Source organism: Homo sapiens, chromosome 12 (assembly GCF_000001405.40).
Source record: "Homo sapiens chromosome 12, GRCh38.p14 Primary Assembly".
Lineage (NCBI taxonomy): Eukaryota > Metazoa > Chordata > Mammalia > Primates > Hominidae > Homo > Homo sapiens.
In genome coordinates, this window is record NC_000012.12 from 69,637,941 (window position 1) to 69,660,456 (window position 22,516).

The 22,516-nt window shown below is 42.8% G+C and overlaps 1 protein-coding gene and 1 long non-coding RNA gene across 13 annotated transcripts in view, besides 1 other annotated feature; one reads left to right on the forward strand and one right to left on the reverse strand.

The window, feature by feature from the left end:
* LOC105369823 (uncharacterized) overlaps positions 1-22,516 on the forward strand; it is a 64,494-nt gene that overhangs the window by 13,358 nt on the left and 28,620 nt on the right. For both annotated transcript variants that reach the window (XR_007063357.1, XR_007063358.1), the window contains exon 3: positions 870-1,074. This is a non-coding gene — a long non-coding RNA (uncharacterized LOC105369823). The remainder of the gene's footprint in view (positions 1-869; positions 1,075-22,516) is intronic.
* Positions 1,530-1,609: an enhancer, noted in NCBI's record as "active region_6654". NCBI's record gives its function as "activates an Ori minimal core promoter by ATAC-STARR-seq in GM12878 lymphoblastoid cells {active_cell/tissue: GM12878}" and the evidence as "EXISTENCE:reporter gene assay evidence [ECO:0000049][PMID:35858748]".
* The window catches only part of BEST3 (bestrophin 3), a 55,796-nt gene continuing 38,847 nt past the window's right edge, over positions 5,568-22,516 (reverse strand). For 10 of the 11 annotated variants that reach the window (XM_047428378.1, NM_001282613.2, XM_047428376.1 and 7 more), the window contains one exon: positions 15,669-17,873. In XM_047428378.1, the coding sequence (XP_047284334.1) occupies positions 16,967-17,873 (907 nt within the window). In that variant the 3' untranslated portion in view covers positions 15,669-16,966. Of the gene's footprint in view, positions 5,848-15,668; positions 17,874-22,516 lie in introns of those variants that run through there. The other variant, NM_001282614.2, reaches the window with a different exon arrangement.

The window sequence follows — 22,516 nt, forward strand, 5'->3', positions numbered from 1 at the left end:
GCTACTACAAAAAGGTAAAACAAAAATGAACTTACACTTTCAAAATATCATTCATGTATATTAAACAAATACTTCTTGAGTGTCTACCCAGTGCCAGACAGTGGTCTAGGTTCTGGGAGGTACAGCATCGTGGGCCACATGGTTAGAAGCTGAGTGTTCCTAACAAGGAGGCTGATTTTGCTGCTCTACTTTGCACTGGTTAAAAAAAAAATTCCACCTCCCACCCATCAAATATGGGGAGTACTGTGCTTGCTTCTGGGTGCACATTTGAGTAGGACCATTTATGACACCGCCAGCAGAGACAGATCAGGACAGTGGAAGGACTCAAGATCATCAGATGTAAAGAACAATTTGATTCTTGGTTTGGCAAGGTTTGGTCTCAAGAAACGGTGTGTGTGTGTGCACGCGTGTGTGTGTGTGTGTGTTGAGGGCATGTATAGAAGCATCATACTCTTCAGATGTTTGAGGCAGGTCCTGAGCAGGCAGGAGGATGGACTACTTAGGTGTGGACCCACAGGCAGAATCAGAACCAGTGGGATCTGGCTGTCAGGGGACAGCTTTTCACTCAACATGGAGAAGGCCTCTAAAGAGTGTAATGTCCCAGCATGCAGTGTGTTGTCTCAGGAAGGGTGAATTGTCTTTCACTAAAGGGATTCCAGCTGGATGAATCTTGGCAGGATGATTGTAGAGAGAATTCTACCACACAACAAGGCACTGAACCAGGTGACACAAAAATTTCCTTCTCACCTCAAGGTTCTAAGAACAGAAGGTCAGTGACATGAAGACCTACTGTGAATGCATTTACTCCAACCAACCGGGAGCCAGTGGGTATCAGCAGCCTCTGAGGTCTATTCCTTGATGTCTTGCAGATGAAGAGGCTCTCCATTCCACATTCCCCACTGATTTGAAGAGATTCTCCATGTTGGTCAGGCTGGTCTCGAACTCCTGACCTCAGGTGATCCACCTGCCTCGGCCTCCCAAAGTGCTGGGATTACAGACGTGAGCCACCGTGCCAGGCCCATATCCCCCTCCTGATAAGACCCTCAGCTGCCAATTTCTTGGATTCTGTCTTTGGTAAGCAATCCATTTAGAAGGGGAGATTTTAAACATTAACAAGAGCTTAAAGAAATAATTAAAGTGTGTGTGCTTGTGTATTATCTTGGACTCAGGGATGCAGAACCCCCCGCCCATAAGAAAGGCTGTTTCTACTCAAAAGCCCCTCTGTGCTTTGAAGCATCTTCCTCTAAAGTTTCTCATATTCAAGTCCCTCCCTGGTGCCTGGGACTGGCGGGGCTGGCAATGCCATCTGGACAAGGCGCTCTAAGGCGTGTGGGGTTTCCTGCAGGCCCTGCTTCCAGGAGTAACCTGACTGATGCATGGGTCACTCCTGGGTCTGGTGCGGTGTTTTGTTTTTTTCAACATACTGATTTGGAATGACTCAAATTATTTACACACACAGGGGCTCTGCATACGTTAGGGGCAGCCCTGATCGCCCCAGCCCTGTCCATCCATGTCCCAAGCCTCCTTCCCCAGAGGCAATGACAAGTGCATCTGAGAATCTTCAGTCGCCCTCAGGGATGAACATAGCTTCCACCCTTGGTTTCAGATGGATTGAAGCGGAGGCTCTCATCTGGGCCTTTTGAGGCTCGCCATGCTAAGTGCTGCCACCTGGAGGCAGCGTGGAGAAACCCTCGCTGGTGTTCCTCCCTTGGCCTTTGCTTCTGCCACGTGTAGTTTGTTATACGCTGTTTTTATCAAATCGGTCCAAGGTAGGAGATTTAAGAAATAATGTCCATAGATATTTGACTTCGCAAAATAGTCACTTATATACTTTCAGGGAAGAAACATTAAAAATTATGAAATCTGAGGAGGGGGAAGGAGAGGAAAAAAAATCCCAAATGTTTTGCTCCAAAGTCTGGCCCATTTTATTAACTAATATTAAAAATAGTTAATAATTATTGAGTCATAACTTTGCATCAGACCCCATATTAATAGCTTTATCTTCACAATTTCATTTAATTTTTCAAACAACCTGACGAGGAAGGTTCTGGCATTAACACAATTTTGTAGTTGATGAAATTGAGGTTAAGGGATGTTCGGTAGCTTGCTCAAGGTCTTACAGCTAGTAAGTGTTTGAGCCCGACTAGAGCAGTGCCTCAGCTCTTAATCACCATACTATTTAATAATATGATGATATAAACATGATGGCAAGTATGTATTGTGTATGCTATATGGCTAGCTGTGTAATATGAGTTTATTAATACCCACAAAAATAGGTATTACTATTATCTCCATTTCATTTGTGAGAAAACCAAGTCACAGAAAGGTTAAGTAACTTGTCACCAAAAGTGGTCTATCCAAGATTTGAATCCATGAAATCTAAGTCCAAAGCTCATATTCCACTTTTTTTTTTTTTTTTTTTGAGAGAGAGAATCTCGCTCTGTCACCCAGGCTGGAGTGCCATGGTGCAATCTTAGCTTACTGTAACCTCTGCCGCCTGGGTTCAAGTGATTCTTCTGCCTCAGCTTCCTGAGTAGCTGGGATTACAGGCACCTGCCACCAAGCCTGGCTAATTTTTTTGGTATTTTTAGTAGAGATGGGGTTTTGTCATGTTGGCCAGGCTGCTCTCCAACTCCTGACCTCAGGTGATCTGCCCACCTTGGCCTCCCAAAGTGTTGGGATTACAGGCGTGAGCCACCATACCCGGCCCAAAGCTCATATTCTTACTTTTATGTTCAAAGACCTCACTTCTTCACAAATGTTGACCAGGCCATGTTTGAAATTTGGTTTTATATGTGGAATATGTAATATGTTTTTTATGTGGAATGTATATATAAAACATATATAAAAACATATATAAAAATATGTTTTATATGTGGAATGTAAAATCAGAGCTCATAAACCAGGCACAGTGGCATATCGCAGTAGTCCCAGCTACTCAAGAGGCTGAGGTGGGAGGATCACTTGAGTCCAGGAGCTCAGGGCCAGCCTGGGCAGCATAGCAAGATCCATCAAGATCCATCTCTAGGAAAAACAAACAAACAAACAAAAAACAAGAAGAACTTACTCCCCTGGTATACTGTGGACCACAGACCATAGAAAGTACACATTGTCTGCTGAAAAATACGTAGAGAAGATACCTGGCTGGTACCCAGCCAGCAGGTGTTATGGATGCAGGGCGGCAGTGATGCCCATGCCACCCTGTATCTGCTCTTTTAGGTTCTAGGAGGCCCTGAGGGAGGGGGATTGTGTGTATCAGTTTTAGATGTCACCACCAACTCTGAACAGCTCTGAATCCTAGGACACATACTTATATCTGATTTTTACTGCATGTTTTTGTTTTGTTTTGTTTTTTGGAGACAGTCTCACTTCATCACCCAGGCTGAAGCACAGTGGCGTGATCATAGCTCACTGCCGCCTTGACCCCCTAGGCTCAGGCCATCCTCCTGTCTTAGCTTTCTGAGTAGCTGGGACTATAGGCACATGCCAGCATGCCTGGTTAATTTTTAAGTTTTTTTTTGTGTGTGTGGAGATGGGGTCTTACTATGTTGCCCAGGTGGGTCTCAAACTCCTGGCCTCAAGCAATCCTCTTGCCTTGGCCTCTTAATGTTGGGATTACAGGTGTGAGCCACTGTGCCCCACCCTACGCTGCATGTTTCAGTGGGGTAACAACAGAGTGGGATTTGCAAAAACTGTGTGTGGGAGAGACATCGACTCCCTTAGCCTTGGGTACTGGAGGTGAGGCAGCTGCAGAGAACTGCACTGGTGGCTGGGGGGCCATACCCCATCGACCTTGATGGAACAGCTGAAGGACACGGTTGTTTCCACTCTGACGCTGGCTTTCTGCTCTTTGCTCTCAAACGCCTCAGTGCTCCTTCCACAGGCTCTCTGAGTATCACTTGAAATATTCAGAGGAAAGTGGCTCTAAACTTTATGTTGGCCAAACACAAAGCCAGTGCCCATCACGGAAAGAACTCAAGAACATGGGCATATTCTTGCCTCTTATATTTGACGTTTTGCCTAACTCCAGTCTTTTATCAACTTTTGGACTTATAACTTTTAGAAGTTTTATTTCCCCTGCAGTGAGGGGGCTTGATCTTGTCCTTAGTCATCTCTCCCACCAGCAGGATTTACCAACTCTGGCTTAGCTGTTTCTTCCTCCACTTACTGGCTTGCCTTTGTCCTTAGGAGAGTAAAGCTGGCTTTAACACATTCCATATCCCAGGCTGGGCACAGTGGTGCACGCCTGTAATCCCAGCACTTTGGGAGGCCAAGGTGGGCAGATCACTTGAGGCCAGGAGTGGCCTGGCCAGCATGGTGAAACTCCGTCTCTACTAAAAATACAAAAATTAGCCGGGTATGGTGGGGCATGCTTGTAATCCCAGCGACTCAGAAGGCCGAGGCACGAGAATCACTTGAACCCAGGAGGCAGAGGTTGCAGTGTGATGAGATTGTGCCACTGAACACCAGCCTGGGTGACAGAGTGAGACTCCATCTCAAACCCCTGTACCCCCATCCCCCCCAAAAAAACCCATTCCAAATCTTTTCATCTCCTCTCTCTGTGGAGTGCTCTCTGTTGCTCAGCGCTCCATGCCCATTGCTGTGGAGCTGACCTGGGAGTGACTGATGGCTCCTGAGGCTGAAGGATGGAAATAGCAGGAGGGCTCCTGGCTGCCCCGCCTGTGGCAAGAGCCAACCAGCCTGCCAGGTACCGTGAACAGCAGCTGTGGCTATACAACCCTGAATGAAGAGGCTCGAGTTTCCTGAGTGGGAATGGCATGGCAATGACATGCTGTTCCTGAGTTGTCTGGGATCTGACATCTCTGCCAGACCTGCTGCCAATGGGGCCTGGTGAAGCAGGGTTGGTTGGTGCTGGGAGTCCCCGCGGGTTGGATGATTTACACTGTCATCCAGCCAGGGGGAACACCATGACTGTGTACTTCACCCAGAGAGGCAGGTCAACAAGAGAAAAGCATGCAGGTTTAACGTGTCTGAGTGATAGCACGGGGCTGCTGGAAGTTTATAGAAGTGAGCAGAAAGATGATCTGAGAACTTTAACTTCTGTATTTTCTTATGCTTTCCCTGAGTGCATTTGTGGAACTCACAGTGGTTGAGGTCTTCATGGAGCCGGTGATGCTTTAGTAAAAGAAGTACAAACTCAAGATACCTATGAGAGCCAGGTAGGCAACAAATGAGTGAAGCAGGCCTAGTGTAGGACAATAGGGAGTGGCGGAGACTGCAGTAAATTGGAGCATGTTGGCCAAAAAAACAGAGCTATCTGAAAATCAGATTCAGACTACCAGCCACCTTCCCACTGCAGACCAAAATTGTATATCTAATTGTGTTTCAGACTGCTAAATTAAGAAACTTATTAGTAAACATTATTTTGCTTAATGTAAAAAAAAAGACAAAAACTAGATTCAGTAAAATTGCTTTAAGCGCTTCTGCTGTTCCACTTTTCATCATGGAAACTGGTACTTCTGGAATGCCCCAGTTTAAACCCTTGAGTGAGTAATACCATATGTGAAGGGTGGGCCCTAAAGTCAGCACACATAACACTGGTAGAGTGAAAATTACCATTAAAATCTCCTGGGAAGGTACCATGTTGGGCATTAATAAAGTGCATTTCTTAGGAACTCCACATGCCTGGATGCTAAAAAGTGGAGAATGTTTTTCAGTTGAGCAGCAGATGAGATTGTTGGCTTGTGTTTAGGAGCCAAGTTGTTTTGAAAGATTCGAGTGTTGTACCTTTAACCACCAGGATCACTCTTAGCACACTGGAATTGAGGCTGAGGGAGTGGGATTTTTATATCTTCCATCTTCCACTCATTCTTAGGCATCTGTTTCCTGGGGAGAAGGGGAGAAGGGAGAATGGTCTTTTCTTTCTACACGTATACAGGTGCTTCTCTTTTCTTCGCCAAACTCACAGAGTTGAATTCACATAGGCCACCACACATTTAATGTAATTTCAGTGTTCTGAAGCATGGTCCCAGAACCTAAAAACCTCACATGTGTACAAAGAAGAAGGAATTGCTGGTCTTGCATTGGATCTTCAGATGTGTTTCAGGCACCCAAACCAGCTTTGACTAATGACAAAGTACCATCCCATATCATACCCAAGAGTTTAAGTTGTTGCCAGTGAAGCAAGGGAGCAGGAGGGGAGCAGGTACAACTGTAGGGAATGTATTTATAGAGAAATAAGCTCTAGGGTTGGGCTATATCCTTCAGGGAAGTCACATATTTGCCTCATGGTTTATGTGCAGGCCTGATTTTGAAACGCAACTCTGCTAATTGTCAGCTCTGTGACATGGATACAGTAGTTTATTTCCCCAAACCCCAGTTTCCTTACCTATAAAATGGACATAGAGCTACTTCACAGCTCGTTAAGAGAATTAAATGTGCTAAGTAATTGTTATAACTTTAAAAAAATTTCTTTTAGCATAATTTGGCTCTGTTGTTTTACTTGGTCTTTTAGAAGGAAAAGTTTATTTGAAATAGGGGGAGGAGGATTGTAAGAGGTTTTAGTGAGAGTTGTTTTAATAAGTTTTTGTATTAATTTTTTGGCACAGGGTATGATGCAGTATTTTATGAGAATAAGTAACTCTATTTTAATGGCTAGAGAGATGAGGATTGAGGACATAAGGTTTTTTTATTTACTGAACCAATTTTTTATTAAATTTGTGAAGGGATTGTTTAGTTCAGAATTTTTGGCTAGCTTATTTGATAGGACAGTAAGATTCTGTAATGCTTTAGTTATGGTTCCACTGGGAGTAATGTTGTTAGGCATGTAAGTACAGCATTGGGTTTTGATTATGACACAAACTCCACTTTCTTTTGCTAGTAGTATGTTTAATGCTATTTTAGTTTTCCAGGCCATTTGACTGGCAGGTCCTAATTGTTTAGCTATTTTTTAAAATAGTATTTTTAGTATAATTGATAAATCATTGCTGATTGTAATACATGTAATTTATTCAATTTACATTTTTATTTACAGTTAACTATTAGAAGAATGTAGATTCAAATCCATCAGCTATTTGGTTTTGGGCCTTAAATTTATTTGATACTTTTCTTGGGACTTCAATGGCATTTATATAAATATGAGAATTGAAGAACCTATGGGGGGCCTCTTTTCTTTGATGATATTTGGTTTTTATTTTTTCTGGTTGATGAAATGCCAGGGTGAAAGGGATGGCCAATTGAATTACAGCACAAATTTTGCTCTAGTTATTTGGCAGAGTGTTCAGTATTGGTTTATTATAATATTACCACACATCCGCTAGAGGATGGCTAAGGGCAGACTGATGAGTAAGGTTTTGGAAGGGCTAAAGCTCACTGAGTTTTTGTTAAGGCTCCCAGGAACGCTAAGTTTTTTCCCCAAACCCTAGTTTCCTTACCTATAAAATGGGCATAGAGATACTTCACAGCTTGTTAAGAGAATTAAATGTGATAAGGTATGGACAGCACTTACTGCAGTAACTGCCACCTAATAGGTTCAATAAATGTTGGTTTCCCAAGGTTCCTCCATGGACCTCAAAGGGTAAGTCGGCAGAGGTGGTTGAGTGGTTACGGTGATTGCTGATTGACTGTTCATCAGTTGTGTGCTGCAAACATAACTTTCTATCCTAACCTAGTTAACTGTTACAGATGCGGTGTGGAATAGCAGAATCAGCAATGAGCCTAGGGGACCTGTGTTCAAATCCCAGATTGAAATTTTAATTGTTGTGTAACCTGTAGCAAGTTATTTACCTTTTCTATATTCCTCCTATTTAATGGGTAATAGGGCTTTGTAGCTGTCGTGAGGACCGATTGAAGTGATATATATAAAACACCAGGCACATCCTAAGTACCCAATAGTTGTAACCCTCCCTTTCCTGACCTCACTCTCCTTTTTCTTTCACCATTTAGGTCAATTTTCTAATGTTCATCACAACCGTCTCTTTCTTCCTCCTCCAGGTATAGAATCTCCAGATATGTTACTGGTACCAGCATTTGAGAAGGATTTATTTATTTATTTGAGATGGAGTCTCGCTCTGTCACCCAGGCTGGAGTGCTGTGGCATGATCTCGGCTCACTGCAACCTCTGCCCCCGAGGTTCAAGTGATTTTCCTGCCTCAGCCTCTCGAGTAGCTGGGATTACAGGTGCCTGCCACCATGCTCAGCTAATTTTTTGTATTTTTAGTAGAGATGGGGTTTTGCCATGTTGGCCAGGATGGTCTCAAACTCCTGACCTCAAGTGACCCACCAGTCTCAGCCTCCCAAGGTGTTGGGATTACAGGCGTGAGCCACCGTGCCTGGCCTTGAGAGGGATTTTAAATCACTTAGTCTAACCATTCATTTAGAGATGAGCTAAAGGAAGTCCAGAGTATTCAAGTAACTTGACTGAGATCACACAGCTAAGTTTGTGGTTATACTTGATTGAGATTTTCAGGTCTACTAACTTTGGATCTAGATCTGATTTGGTTTTATTTATTTATTTTTTTCTTTCCTTCAAGCATCCATGCACCTAATTTTTTTTTTTTGATATGGTCAGACACTTTTCTAATCCCTGGAGATGCACTGGTTGAAAAAGCCAGTGAATGGAGCTTACATCCCAGTGGAAAGGCCTGGCTGCCTTCTAAGGCAAGTGGGCACATGTCTCATTTCCACTGTACCCATGAGAAGGGCATTGTCCCACCTGGCCCCTCACCAGCTAAACCTTTTTCCCTGCAGAGCATCAGGGGCACATAGCCTCTGCATCAGGGCCAGGGGGAGCAAAACCATGTTGAAGAGAGATGAATGAATGTGACAGAAATCTGCCTGTCTTCCTCCATTCTTTAGTTATGAAAGTAATCGGGTTCCATTTTTATTTGGAAAAAATGACTGATTGAAAGTGTTTTCTAATCTTGGTTGTGCTTTTCCTTTGGAGTCAGTAGGGTCCAGTAAACATGTGGATTAATACCAAGCTTATCATTAGAATTGAAGATGCCGCCACTTCCAGAAAGTTTTGTTCCTTGGGGAATAAAAAAAAAGATGAGATTCATTCACTTCTGAACCCATCTGCAACCATCCAAGCATGGCAGCTGATTTCTAAGGACAGAACCAAGGAGGGCAGTAAACACTCAGTATTCACCCATCTTTGAGGCGTAAAGGGGAGTAAAGACTTAGACTGTAGGTCCAGAGCAGACCTCAGCAAGTAAGAACAAGTGATGCTGGCCATTTGGTGTAAGCCTCCACCTTTGCTGATCCCAGGCTCTAAATAGAATTTGATTGTGGACTCCATCTCTCTGAATTTGCTCCTGCCTTCTTCTGAGTGTTGAAGGATCCTGAACTATCATCTCCGTTTCTCCTTAAACAACAGCTCCTTAAGTAGCAGGCTTTACTCTTGCAGTTTAGTGTGATACAAGAGTTGGCCGATTTTTAGTCGGCTTTTGTGCAAATGAGTGCTATGCCCCAAGCTCTGAAAGGGGAAACGTCACCACTCACAGGTAGCAGAAGGGCAGGCATTTGGAAGGAAGTTAGTATTCAGTGGGGAGGAGCTGGAGTTTTATTTCTTTTCTTCCACTCATATGACCCTCTTTCTCCCCTCTTTCAGATGCTGTTTGTTTCATACCAGTGTATCTAATTTGCAAAAAATATGTAGAACTTATGAAAGGTTGTTTAGTAGATGGGGGGATAATTGGCTCACTCTATGGAGAAAAAAACAACAAAACTTATCCCTACTTAACACTGTAAAGGAAATAGGACAAAAAATGTAGGCGAATATCATGGGAGAGGGATGGGGAAGGATTTCTCATACAAAACTTCAAAAGCATAAAACAAAAAAATTGATGAATTTGATTATATTAAATTAAGGATTTCTATTCAACAAATACCATGGATACTTTTAATAGACACACAAAGGATCAGAAAAGACCACCACAATGTCTGAAACCAACAAGGGTCTATTATTAGTCTAGAAAAAGAAGGAACTCCTGAAAATCAACAAGAAAAGTACAGAAACTCCATTAGATAAAAAAGCAAAGAAGTTGAAAAGGCAATTTTCAGAAGAAGAGTCCTAAAAGGATGCACAGGCACATGAAGAGATGCTTAATGGCATTAGTAATGAGACTAATGTCAATTAAACAACAATTAGGCATCCCTTTACATTTTTCAGACTGGAAAAAACAGATAGTGAGGCGATGCCAAGCTTGGGGTTGGGGAAAGGGATGTAGAGATGCAAGGACACTTCTGGAGGTCAATCTGTTCGTGGGTCTACACCCCAAAGAAACTCTTCTATGGATCCCTAGGTTCTCTGGAGGGAGATCCCTAGGGTCTCTGGAGGGAGGTGGAGGCAATTGGGACAGTATGTAAGTGAGATATGAGACATCCTGGAGTATGCAGCGGCTAGAAGCAATTGGGGCAGTAGATAAGATTTACAAGAGGGAATTTGGGGGGATCTGAAAAACATAGTACTAAGTGAAAAATAAACAGATGAGACCTATACTACAAAAGCATTTGCACACAAAACTATGCATTTTATAAGAATGTATACAAGCAAAGGGCTTCATGTTAAACAAACTGAAATAGTTGGGATGGGGAACGGGATTGTGGATGAAGAAAACAAACTCAGGGGCAAACATGAATGAACTTCAGAAGGCATGTTCTTATTTCTCAGGACCTGCAGAGAGAGTGGCAGATCCATTAGGGAGGATGGGAGGGACAGAACTTCCCGGACACTCAGCTTTAGCGGAATGCCTGACACTCAATAGTTGCTTAATGTTTCATGAATGACTATGAATACAAGTCCAACTGGTGACATCATCCAGGATTTCACCAATTCCTTGATGTTATTCTCCTGGAAGTCTGAGGCAGAGGAATCCATGAGTTTGCTTGGCCCAGGGAAGGTAGTAAACTGACCCAATCCTTTGTAACTATTTTCTACAAAAAAGTCCTTTCTACATAAAGTACCAAATTACATGTCTAGAAGATACAGTTTGTTCAGTCCTCAGAAAGACACATATAAAAGCTGAAGCTAGATCAGTTGTCTATCCACAGTCTAGCAGCTTATTGGCACAAGTTCTTCAATAATATTGGTAAGAATTTATTATTATTATTTGAGACAGACTTGCTCTGTTGCCCAGGCTGGAGTGCAGTAGCATGATCTCAGTTCACTGCAACCTCTGCCTCCCGGGTTCAAGTGATTCCCGTGCCTCAGCCTCCCAAGAGCTGGGATTACACGTGTGCGCCACCACGCCCGGCTAATTTTTGTACTTTTTTTTAGTAGAGACACGATTTTGCCATGTTAGCCAGGCTAGTCTCAAACTCCTGACCTCAAGCGACCTGCCCGCCTTGGCCTCCCAAAGTGCTGGGATTATTGGCATGAGCCACTGTGCCGGATTTGTTGTCACTCTTTATATAAAGTATAATCTAAGGAAATTACAATCATGCCAGCAATGGCATTTAGCTACTCTTACTGGTAGGAGCCATTCAAGGAATCTAAGCATGAACCTCGGGGTTCAAATCTGATTTTTCTGAATTTGAGATATCAGATCCTCTATCATCAAGGGAGAAATGGTAATTACTTCACAGCTTGTACATAGAATAGGAATTTAGCCTGTTGCTGGGCTAATCTGTTCTCTTCTAGTTCTATTTCTTCCTCTAGCTCATCTCTTATCATTAATCTCCTTGATGGTTGTCTCATTTTTACCTTCTTATTGGCCTAAATCAGCTTTCTCAAACTTGGTATATTGGGCCAAATAGTTGTGGACGTCTGTCCTGTGCCTTGTAGGATGTTTAGCAGCATTTCTGGCCTCTACCCACTAGATGCCAGAAATACTCCCCAGCCTGACAACTAAAATTATCTCCAGACATTGTCAAATATCTTCTGGGTGCAAAGCCATCTCTGGCTGAGAGCCACTGGCCTAGACAAAAAACCTGGAACGCACCAGCGCTTTTGTGCAAAACCCATTTTAGAAACGTTCTTATTTGTTTTCTGGATACAAGATACAACATTCCCTTTGCTGCTTCTGGCAAATGTCTAAAATTAGAAGATCAGAGATGATTCTAGGTAACCACCTGGCCACATCTACCTGTGGCAAAAGGAAGGTTTGAGTCCACTTTCTGAATTAACTCAGAGACAAAACAAAATAAAACACAAAAACGTAATCTCCAAACTGAATTAATTATTTGAGCAAATGTGGTTTTTGGGTCTCTATTTTACAGGGAAATTGGTGCATTTTCCATTTGCCATGGCCAGGCATGAGCTGACTGCACAGGTGGAGGTGATGAAGAGAGAGAGTTTGGAGAGAGGTGAATGTTTGTTAGGATTCTGTCTCTCAAGCTTTGCCAGTGAATAGGAATATTTTTTCTGGGTTTTGTAAATTTGCAAAAAGAGAATGATCCTGGTATTCTTGAATTGGTTCTTTCGACTCAGTGGCCACATGAGTGGAAAAGCCTGTCCCAAAAATTAAGGTCCATAGAACTAAAAAAACAAAAAAGCATGCAAAAGTATTGAGGACCTATCTGACATAGTTCAACAAGACAAAATGAGGAAATCCTTGGTTGTTACTGTTAATAGCCCAGCACATCAGAAAATGTTTGTTGTTGATCATGTAGATGATTGTGATAAGAGAGGGGCAGGGGGAATTAGGTTTCAACCTGCTCTTGCTTAGGAGTTTTTACAGTTGTAGTTGTTCTTTCTAATTAACTGATCCAGGACCAGGTTTAGGGAGATTAGATACCTCAAGAGGGTCTTCTAACTTTGAACCAGGGGTTCTAAATCCTCTAGATTTATAGTGGAGAAAACAGAAGCAACTACTTTTCTCCAGTTCCATGTTTTGATTGAGGGGATGGAGACACATAATGGGTTAGAGGAGGAATTCATTGCCATGGTGATGAGGCCTGGGATATGGTGGACAGTGAAGAACTATGACAAAAAACACTGCAGAGAAAGAAGATGTGGGAGGAGTTGGGAAGCATATGAAAGGAAAAAAAAACCAAGAGAGAAATGACTAGATTAATAATTTGGAAGCTTAATGGTGTGTGTCTTAGAAGAAAAGTTTTCTGAGCCAGGCACAGTGGTGCATGTCTGTAAGCCCCAGCTTCTCCGGAGGCTGAGACAGGCAGATCTCTTGAGCTAGGGAGTTCAAGGCCAGCCTGGGCAACATAGCAGGACTTGTCTCTAAAAAAAGAAGGAAAGCTTCCTGAATGAAAGAGGCTAGAATCCTGTAGAATAAGTAGATCCTGGCAAACAAGTGACTAAATGAGGAAGAGAGGAAGGGCTTTTTCTGAAGTTCATAGTGAATCCATGGGAACATTAATCCCCAGTCATGCTTGCCATCCATACAGTGCTGCTGCATTCCCAGCCTCCTCTCACGATGCCTCATGAAGGGCAAGTGAAATGAGCCAGAAAAGAGCCCATTTTATAGATGAGAATAAGAAGTTCAGAAGAACGCAGACTTGTTCAAATTTGTAAAGGAAAACACTGGTTTTCCTTATCCCATTATAACTCATGGCCACTTGGGCTCAGTAGATTCTCAGAGAGTAGATTTTATGACATTAAGAGCTCAGAAAAATGACTTAAAATGGAATCAAACAGGGTGTGGTGGCTCATGCCTATAATCCCAGCACTTTGGGAGGCCAAGATGGGTGGATCACTTGAGGTCAGGAGTTCAAGACCAGCCTGGCCAACATGGTGAAACCCTGTCTCTACTAAAAATACAAAAAAATTAGCCAGGTGTGATGGCGGGTCCCTGTAATCCAAGCTACTCGGGAGACTGAGGCAGGAGAATTGCTTAAACCCAGGAGGTGGAGGTTGCAGTGAGCAGAGATTGTGCCACTGCACTCCAGCTCTGGGCGACAAAGTGAGACTCTGTCTCAAAAAAAAAAGAAAAAAAAAAAAAGAAAGAAAAAAATTGAATTGATTTTTCTGGAGAAGAAGGAAGCTAGAGGCGAAAACACCAAAAACAAGAGGAGTATTTCTAAGATTTAAACAAATCTTTACTTTCATGGCAAATTTTACATTTCTCCATTCCATTTAAAATATTTTCCATAGCTTAGCTGAACCAGGCTGAAAGTGGATGTCTGGAGTGGTGGAGGCGATACACCATGAAGTAGACAGGACAATAAAGGAAGGGGAGATAACAGCCTTCTTTGTTTTGCTGGGTGCCAGTCATTCTCTAAAATTCTTGGAAAATTGAGAAAAAGTTAGTGGGCCATTTCCTTACTGAACTACAAACCCCAGCATCAGGGCAGAGTTATCTCTACAAAGCAGGGAGAGAACGCAACAAATAGAGCTTGGCCTCACCGCACTCTCTGGCTTTTGGATCACATTTAATGTGAGAGAGTTGAGCCTGTTCTTGGAATGGGCAAACTCAAAAGATTAAGCCACCAGGCCATGTGACCATTCATCCAGGTGGGTGAAGGTTCCAGGACTCAGGGAAAAAGGAGCTAGGCAGGCAATGAAATCAGGTACATGAGAAGAAATCATTTTGTTTTTTTCAACCGTGGTCTGTGTTGAGTAAAAACTCATTTTAGAATTAATAGAGAATTTCTTCATCTGCTCTGAGCAATTGCTGGTTTGATTTTATAGCTGAATTCAACCACACGGGCTCATTGAGCATGTCATAATTTAGTTTTCATTGCAAGAAGAAAATGAGAGTCTATCTCAAATTTTGAAGAAATATTGAGGAAATTAAAAAATTATCTGGATAAAAGTGCATAAGGGGCGTGTGGAAGCAGAGATAAATGAACACTGCCAGCCCTTCATAAATGTATTATTATATTTGTGTATAATTTATCACCTTGGATTTAGGAATGAAAACTGATTATGTTTCAAAAGCAGCTAAGTAGAAACTTACTTGAATTTGAGCAACAGACAGAGCTAAAGAGAAGAGAATAGACAGACTGAAATTGAAATACCCAAGAAAATAGCATTAAGAGCCTGGTGACTGGGAGAAGGTTAGGGATCCTGCCTTCTAGAAGTGTTATATTGGCTCTTGATCCCATAGTCTATACGTAGTGCTTTGGGAATAACGGGGCTTTCCCAGATGCTAACACTACCAACCAACATAGAGAACCATCAAGGTATAGCATTTCCTCTAATATTATTTCTTTTCAGTCCTTTGAGAAAAGTCAGTTAAAGTAAATGTCATTGTTGTCATGCAGCTTGGAGGCCTGGGAGATATGAGGTCTTGTGAAAATGTGCTAATTTGAACATTGCGTATCAGGAGGAGTTGGTGAAGGGAAGGAGGGTCCTGCCAACTTTTTTCTGTCATGAAAAATGAAGAGGACTATGGGTGGTACTCCAAGCTGGAGCAATGCCCTTCTCTATGAATGCATAAAAGACGCAGGTAGACTTGAGCGGGGAGGACCCAGAGAGGCCCTTGAGGCTGGAGAGATTTAGCCTGAATCTGTGAGTTGGGCATGCCTCCCTTGGGGCATCCTCCAGAATGCTGGGCAAATTGCTGGCAGATTCAGGGCCTTACACATAGCACAGGGCAGTGAGAAAGCATAGTGGTTAACAGTGTGGGCTCTTGAGTCAGATAAACCTGGGTTTGAAGATGAACACTGTCACTTCTCGGCTATGTGATTTTAGGCAAATACCTTACTTCTCTAAAGCCTGTTTCTCTCGTCTTTAAAATGGAAATAACAGTATATCAGTCTCATAAGATTCGCTGCTGCCTGGAACAGTGTAAGCACTCAATAAATGGTAGTTTTGAGGGTTATTTTATTTCTAAAGCCATATGTAGTCAAGTGCCATCATATGACAAATGGTAAGTGCAGCAGTCGTAAGGCATGGCCTAGGCACTTGGGAGCCCACGACAAACAGCTGTCCTGAGAGCTCCCTGGGAGGAGTACCAACATCCGATCCCCATTATGCAGCTCTGGACCCCATTAGCCTCCCAGCTCCAGTATCCTGCCCATTCCCAAATGACCCGATAGACACAGTAACTGGTCCCGTGTTGCGACACGATTAGGATTTTTGCATAAGAGTTCAAGTTAAACAGATGTGAGTCATCTTATTCTTTGGTTCCATAGCATTTGGCTATGCAAATTTCATATTCTCTTGGCTTCGTTTTTCTCCAGTGCCCAACACCAAATAGTGGAAGCAGAAAGAAATGTCAATGGCTGCAAGGGCACGGGGGGAACCATCACTCCTATATGCCTTCCACTGGAAGTGAGACTGGAAGGGTATCAGGCTGGATTTGTTGACACCTTTGATGATTCTGTAGGAGGCTTTGCCAATGTCTTATATTTTGAAATTCATGGCAAGACATAAGCAACAGATTTGGCAAGAGGAAATATTATAACCTGAAAAATGGGACAGATTACTAGAAAAGCAGCACAACCAGGGAGAAGGGAAGGGAAAAAAAGGATGACAGAATAAAAGGAAAAGAGAGAAAAGTAAAAAAGGAAATTGAAGAGAATTAAGTGTTCTGGTGCTGATGAAGCTTAAGAATCAGGAAGTGATAATAACAATAATAGTTATAAAAGTAGGAATGAGATGGTTAGAAAGCCTCAAACAAAAACGTTAGGAAGGAGGGGATCTTTCAGGCATTAGGTGATCCATCTCCTTTCTTTATGGCTAAAGAAAAAAAGAAAGAGAAAAAAGAAGAGAAATAGAGAACCCTGCGTGTCTGGGCCTTTGGGTCTAGGGGATTGGACTATGATCTATGAGACTCTTTCCACAACTAATAATCTATGAATTTATAAGTCATGTATGTTTTTCAGATTCCTTTTTTTGGTTAAGACTTATTTGGCTAAATCACTGTGGTCTGTGTAACTTCTGATGAAAGCCATGTTGTGTTGGATGACGTGAATGCGTTTGATTTTTCGCAGCTCTCAAAAAGTCAGGATCATAATGCCCTTCAAAGTTCTAAGTAGCTTATACAGTGTGATCATGTTTTTTAAAAAGTCGACCAGCCTTCAGGTATGTCCTGGGCCTAATATGCTGCTTTTGGGGAGGTAAGAATCTAGGCTAGAACCAGGTCCTAGAACTTGGTGGCACTCATTTGGGTGATTCCTCAGTTTCCTTGTTCAGCTCTATGATATCTGTTTCCTTGGTGTCCAGGTTTTCCATTAAATACAGCATATCAGAAGAGACTCGAGAGCCAGCCACAATGTTGATCCCACTGATCTCTGAGGATGTTTCTGTGTCAATTAAAAGAGCTGGCTGAGAGCTCATGGGGTCTGGACTTAGGTTTCCCAGGGAAGTGTGGCTGGACCCCAGGAATCCCGGAAGACTCCACCTTTTTAGAAAGGTATCACCAGGGTCTTCTTCACAGTTGAATATATTTTCCTCAGCGCTGGCTGAAACTGTCTGGGGACTGGGGCCTCCAGGAGGTGTCTCCTTCTCTGAGGGAGACAGGATGGATCCCATGGGGCCCTGCTGCTGCTCAGTCTTGCTTGGCTGAACCCCTGTAAACTCAGAGCTCAAGATGGAGGTAGCGGAATCATGGTGGTAGCCCCCTGATGTGGGCACTGGTGCTTCGGCTGCTGTGATCAATACCTCAGGTACCAGTGGCATTTTGATGGGGGAAGTTCTCACACTGGACTGTGGGGTCAGGCTCTGTAAAGTGCTTGTCTGGCTGGTCTCCCTGATGGTGGACAGCTCTCCCATGCTGAAGTGCAGCGTGGGGCTTCCTTCTGGGAAGCAGGATTTCTTCCAGGTGGGTGAGGCCCTGGGGGGGTTTCTTGAGGGCACATCCAGTAGGTCCCTGGCTGGGCTGAGGTCATCTCGGGGTAAGAACATGGAGCTGTCACTTGTCTGCCTCCTGTAGCTTCTTCTTCTGGGGCTGGAGGGGTGTTCGTGGGCACTCAGGAACCGCTTGACTCTTCTTATCATGGAATGCCGATGGCCATGCTTCTCATAATCCCACAGCCACTCCTCGTCAGGAAAGTCGGACCCAGACAGCCTGAAACACACAATGACAAGATCCAGGCAGAGTAGCTTCGGGGGCCTAGCTTTGGGGGCAGAGTCTCAAAGTTAAGAGATGACTTTGGTATTTTTGCCTTATAGATTTTTTAAATGGGGGTTTGAGGACTTGAGATAGTCTAGCAGAGGCTCACACACTTTTTGATCTCAGATCCCTTTTAAACTCTTAAAAATTATTGCGTATCCCAAAGAGATTTGCTTATGTGGGTTATATCTATTACTCTTTACTGTATTTAAAATTATAACTGTGGAATGTCTGAAACACAAGCACGTACAAGCACACATTCCGTTGACTGCTAAGTGATGACATCACCACATATCTTGTGGCCTCTGGAAAATTCCACTGGACACTCTTGACAGAATGAGAATGAAAAAGGCAAATAACATGTTGTGCTATTATGAAAACATTTTTGACCTTCAGGACTCTCTGGAGTGGTCTTAGGGATCCCCAGATATCCCCAGACTACACTTTGAGAATCACCGATCTAGAGACTTGGACATTAAGAAATATCTATATATCTATATCTATGAATCTATCTGTCTGTCTGTCTATCTATCTATCTATCTGTCATCTAGTATATGTTCTTTCTCCCTTAGTACAGTTGAATTAAGGCCAAGTTTCCCAAGGACCCATAAAACCCCCCTTAACAATGGATCATAGGTAAATTCACGAGCGTGCGATGCCCAGCTCACATTTATTGACTATATACTAAGGCCCAGCTAAGCACCTCCTATGCATTGATTCATTTAGTTATCACAATAATTAGATGAGTTGGTATTAGTATTATATCATTACAATACAGTGAGGTATTACTGTATTACTATAAAGTGAGGTATTAGTATCCTCACTTTACAAATGAGGAAACTGAGGCCTGGAGAGATTCACTAAATGTACGTAGCTAGTTAGAGCAAATTCGGAAGTCTGGCTCCAAGCCCTTGCTCCTAATCCCTTTGATGGAAAGCCTACTACACAGGGGTCAAGGGATGAGCTAGAGCCCAGGGTGGAATAGTGAGTAAAGCACAGTCCTTGCTCAGAGGTAATTTGTAAACATTCCTGATAAGGCTTTGCATTTATGTCTGTACAATTAGGGTTAAAAAAAGAGAAATTGGAACCTTGTGGAAAGGATATATTCATCCAGTTAGGGTGAACTTGCATCGCGATTGGGCTCTGCTTGTGATAAAATTTGATGGATTGGCTACCAAGAATTTCCTGCTGAATTTCTACCATTTAAAAAATAAAACAAATAATTCTACCATTTAATTAGTTAATTTATTTATTTGAGACAGAGTCTTACTCTGTCGCCCAGGCTGGAGTGTAGTGGTGTGATCTCGGCTCACTGCAACCTCTGTCTCCCAGGTTCAAGTGATTCTCATGCCTCAGCCTCCCCAGTAGCTGGGATTACAGGTGGGTGCTACCACACCCAGCTAATTTTTGTATTTTTAATAGAGAGGGAGTTTTACCATGTTGGCCAGGCTGGTCTCGAACTCCTGACCTCAAATAATCTGCCCACCTTGCCCTCCCAAAGTGCTGGGATTACAGGCATGAGCCACCACACTTGGCCAAACCTACCATTTTAAATCTCCTTCAGGACTGACATAAAATGAATAATTGAGGTGAGATAAGCCTGTTTGGTAGTTTGGTCTACTCTGGCCTCGGATTACATAGTTATTTGCCACACATCTCTGTGGAATTACAGCCTTAATGGGGTTTGAAGAACAACTTAAAGCCTTGCCCTTGAACTACAAATGCTCATCATGCTAGCTCTGGGAGCAACAGTAACCAGCTGGTCCCAGTCCACTATTGGTAGTGACATCTCTGGTGACAAGATGCCGGGTGCATTTTATGTGACATGAAGGAGAACATTGGGACAGTATAATATTGGTGTAACTTGAAAGGGCAAAGCAAGCAGCCAAAGAAACGTCGTTCCTCATGTTTATGAATAAAACATGGATGACTGAGATGATTAACTGGCTGAATGTCCTGGGACGGCGTTCGATTACAACCTTGTGCTGTTTTTCTAAAGCCTCAGCAGCGCCCTTGGCTACCAGATAGCCTTCTGACCCACCCTCCACTGTGTGAGGGTCAGATTCTATTACATCGACTTGAGAAATGCAGACTCATGCTTCAGTGGCCTTGGTGACCCTGCTGGGTGGATTGCATTTGGTCAGCTCTCCAGTCACACTCCACAGGCACCCATTTAGTTAGGGAGGAGGACACCAGAGGAGCCACAAGTGAACTTGTTCACTAACACAGCCACTCTGGATGTGTTCTGGGAATCAAGGACAAGCTGGCAATCTCTCTATATAGGACAGGCGTCTGTCTTCCATTTGGGATCTCAACTATTTATTTAGGATTTGTTTTTTTAAACTACCTCTAAAGGTTGCAATCTTGTAAGAAAGACAGTCTTCTAGGAAAAAAGTTTATATTTTTAATACTTCAAACTTTGTGACTCAAAAGACAAAAACCTTATGCCCTGGTATAGGACATATGTATTATACCTTCAACTGCAGCAAGAGGTATAAACTCCTGGGTCATAGATGGGGGAAAATAGACAAGTTGCAACAAGCAAACTGCAAAACGTCTGGTGCTCTTGCTATGTTGGACTGATTCATAACTGACATTGGGTAGGTCTGCCAAGAAGACCCTATTGTACCTTCCTGGCTCATAAGACTATGGAGTAGATGCATGAGGTTTATCTGTTTATTCACCCGACTAAATTTATTGAGCACTTATCATAAACAATTTGTTGCATTAGGTACCTTTTAAATTATCACTTAAAAGGAGAGAGAAGACATATAAATAAATATTTACATTTGGGGCAAAGCAAGTTTTTGAGCTAGGCTTTGACACTGAGTGGGAATTGGATGGATAGAAAAGGGACAGAGCATTCCAGGTGAAAGAAGTGACTTGAACAAATAAGGCAGCAGGAAAGTTTAGGGTGTTTGTGAGAAATAGGAGATACTTGAATCTGTGTGAAACACACAGAAAAGTGTCAGGCCTAGGCTGGAAAGAGGTCCTTGGACCGTGCCATGAAGAGTCGTATACCAGGTTGTGGGATGTGAACTTTATCCCGGAGACAGAGGGCAGCTGTGGATTGTCTTTGAGAATGGAGGGCATTGCTAGGGTTGTGTGGTGTGGGTAGGGGTGTCCATGGTGGAAGGGTACACAAAAAGCAACGTTGATGACTGCTTTAGATAAGAAACATGACTTGAAAACTTTTCACTCCTTTAGTCTGAAACAGGGTCTTTAGAAGCACGCTTGGTGATCAGTGCTCTGGGGGGCAGTTTTAAGTATCTTACACTGAGTGGTGAATGATGCCCTCCAGGTCTTAATGCTGTAACAGAGCAGTAGGGAAACTCCCCAGCATGACAAACCTAAAGACATTTCTTCTAAATGCTTCCATGGAAGATCTCATTGCCAACACACACTGTTCATCTCCTCCTTTCTCTGGTAGCCACTATTCCCAATATGACAGCAGAAGCTGTGCTTTAAGAACAAAATAGTTTAAAATAGAATACGTATATATTTATTTATTTAGAGACAAAGCCTCACTCTGTGACCCAGGCTGGAGTGCAGTGGCACAATCATGGCTCACTGTAGCCTTGACCTCTTGGGCTAAAGTGATCATCCCACCTTAGCCTCCCAAGTAACTAGGACCGTGGGCGTGCACCACCATGCCTGGCTAATTTTTTATTTTTGGTAGAGATGGGGTCTCCCTATGTTGCCCAGGCTGGTCTTGAACTCCTGGCCTCAAGTGGTCCTCCTGTCTTGGCTTCCCAAAGTGTTGGGATTATAGGCGAGAGCCACCACACTCAGCCTTAGAATAGTTTGAAAGAGTATTTCCCAAATGGGAGGCTGGAGTATAAATTTTAGTTTCTTTTATTTTTTTTTTTATGCTCCTTATTTGATATTTAAAGTGTCCTCTTAGTCTAGGGTTAGTACAATCCTGAGGCTCAATATAATACCACTTAACCAACTAATAGCAGAAATATTATACGATAGAATAAAAGTACCCTCATTATATTCCTATGTATTAGGGAGAGTCAGCTGAAAAAGCTAGGTTTTATGTTCTGGAACTTATTTGGACTGAGAGAGGCAGGTAATTAGAGATAGGAGGACATTCATGAAAAGTGTCATGCGGCCATCAGTTTCCAGGGATAAAATTTGAGCACTGTCTCTGTGGTGGGAAAAATAATTTATTTTGAGAGCTTGCAGAGCCAGGATTGCTGTGTCTATGCTGACACCAACCAGCTGTGTGATCTTTGGGGACTCATTTAATCTCTTGTGACTTAGCATCATTCTTGGTAAGCTGGTGATAATTATCCTTTACCTGCCTTTTAGGTTGTTTGAAAGTTCAAAAGGGGTGACCTGTGTAGAAAAGCTTTGAAAGTAGAAGATGTAAAAAGGACTCTGTCAATGACTGGCAAACTTTCAGAAGTGGTTTCCAAGTTATCATTGACTTCTCAGACAGGGTTGGAGGAGATGATAATGTGTGTCTGAAGGTCACTCCCTTTTCTTCTTCAAGATTGTCCTTTTAAAAATGTTACTACACCTAGGAGATATCACTTAACAACACCTTCAAAAGGGATGACTTAGCCATTTAATGATAAGCCATTTAATGA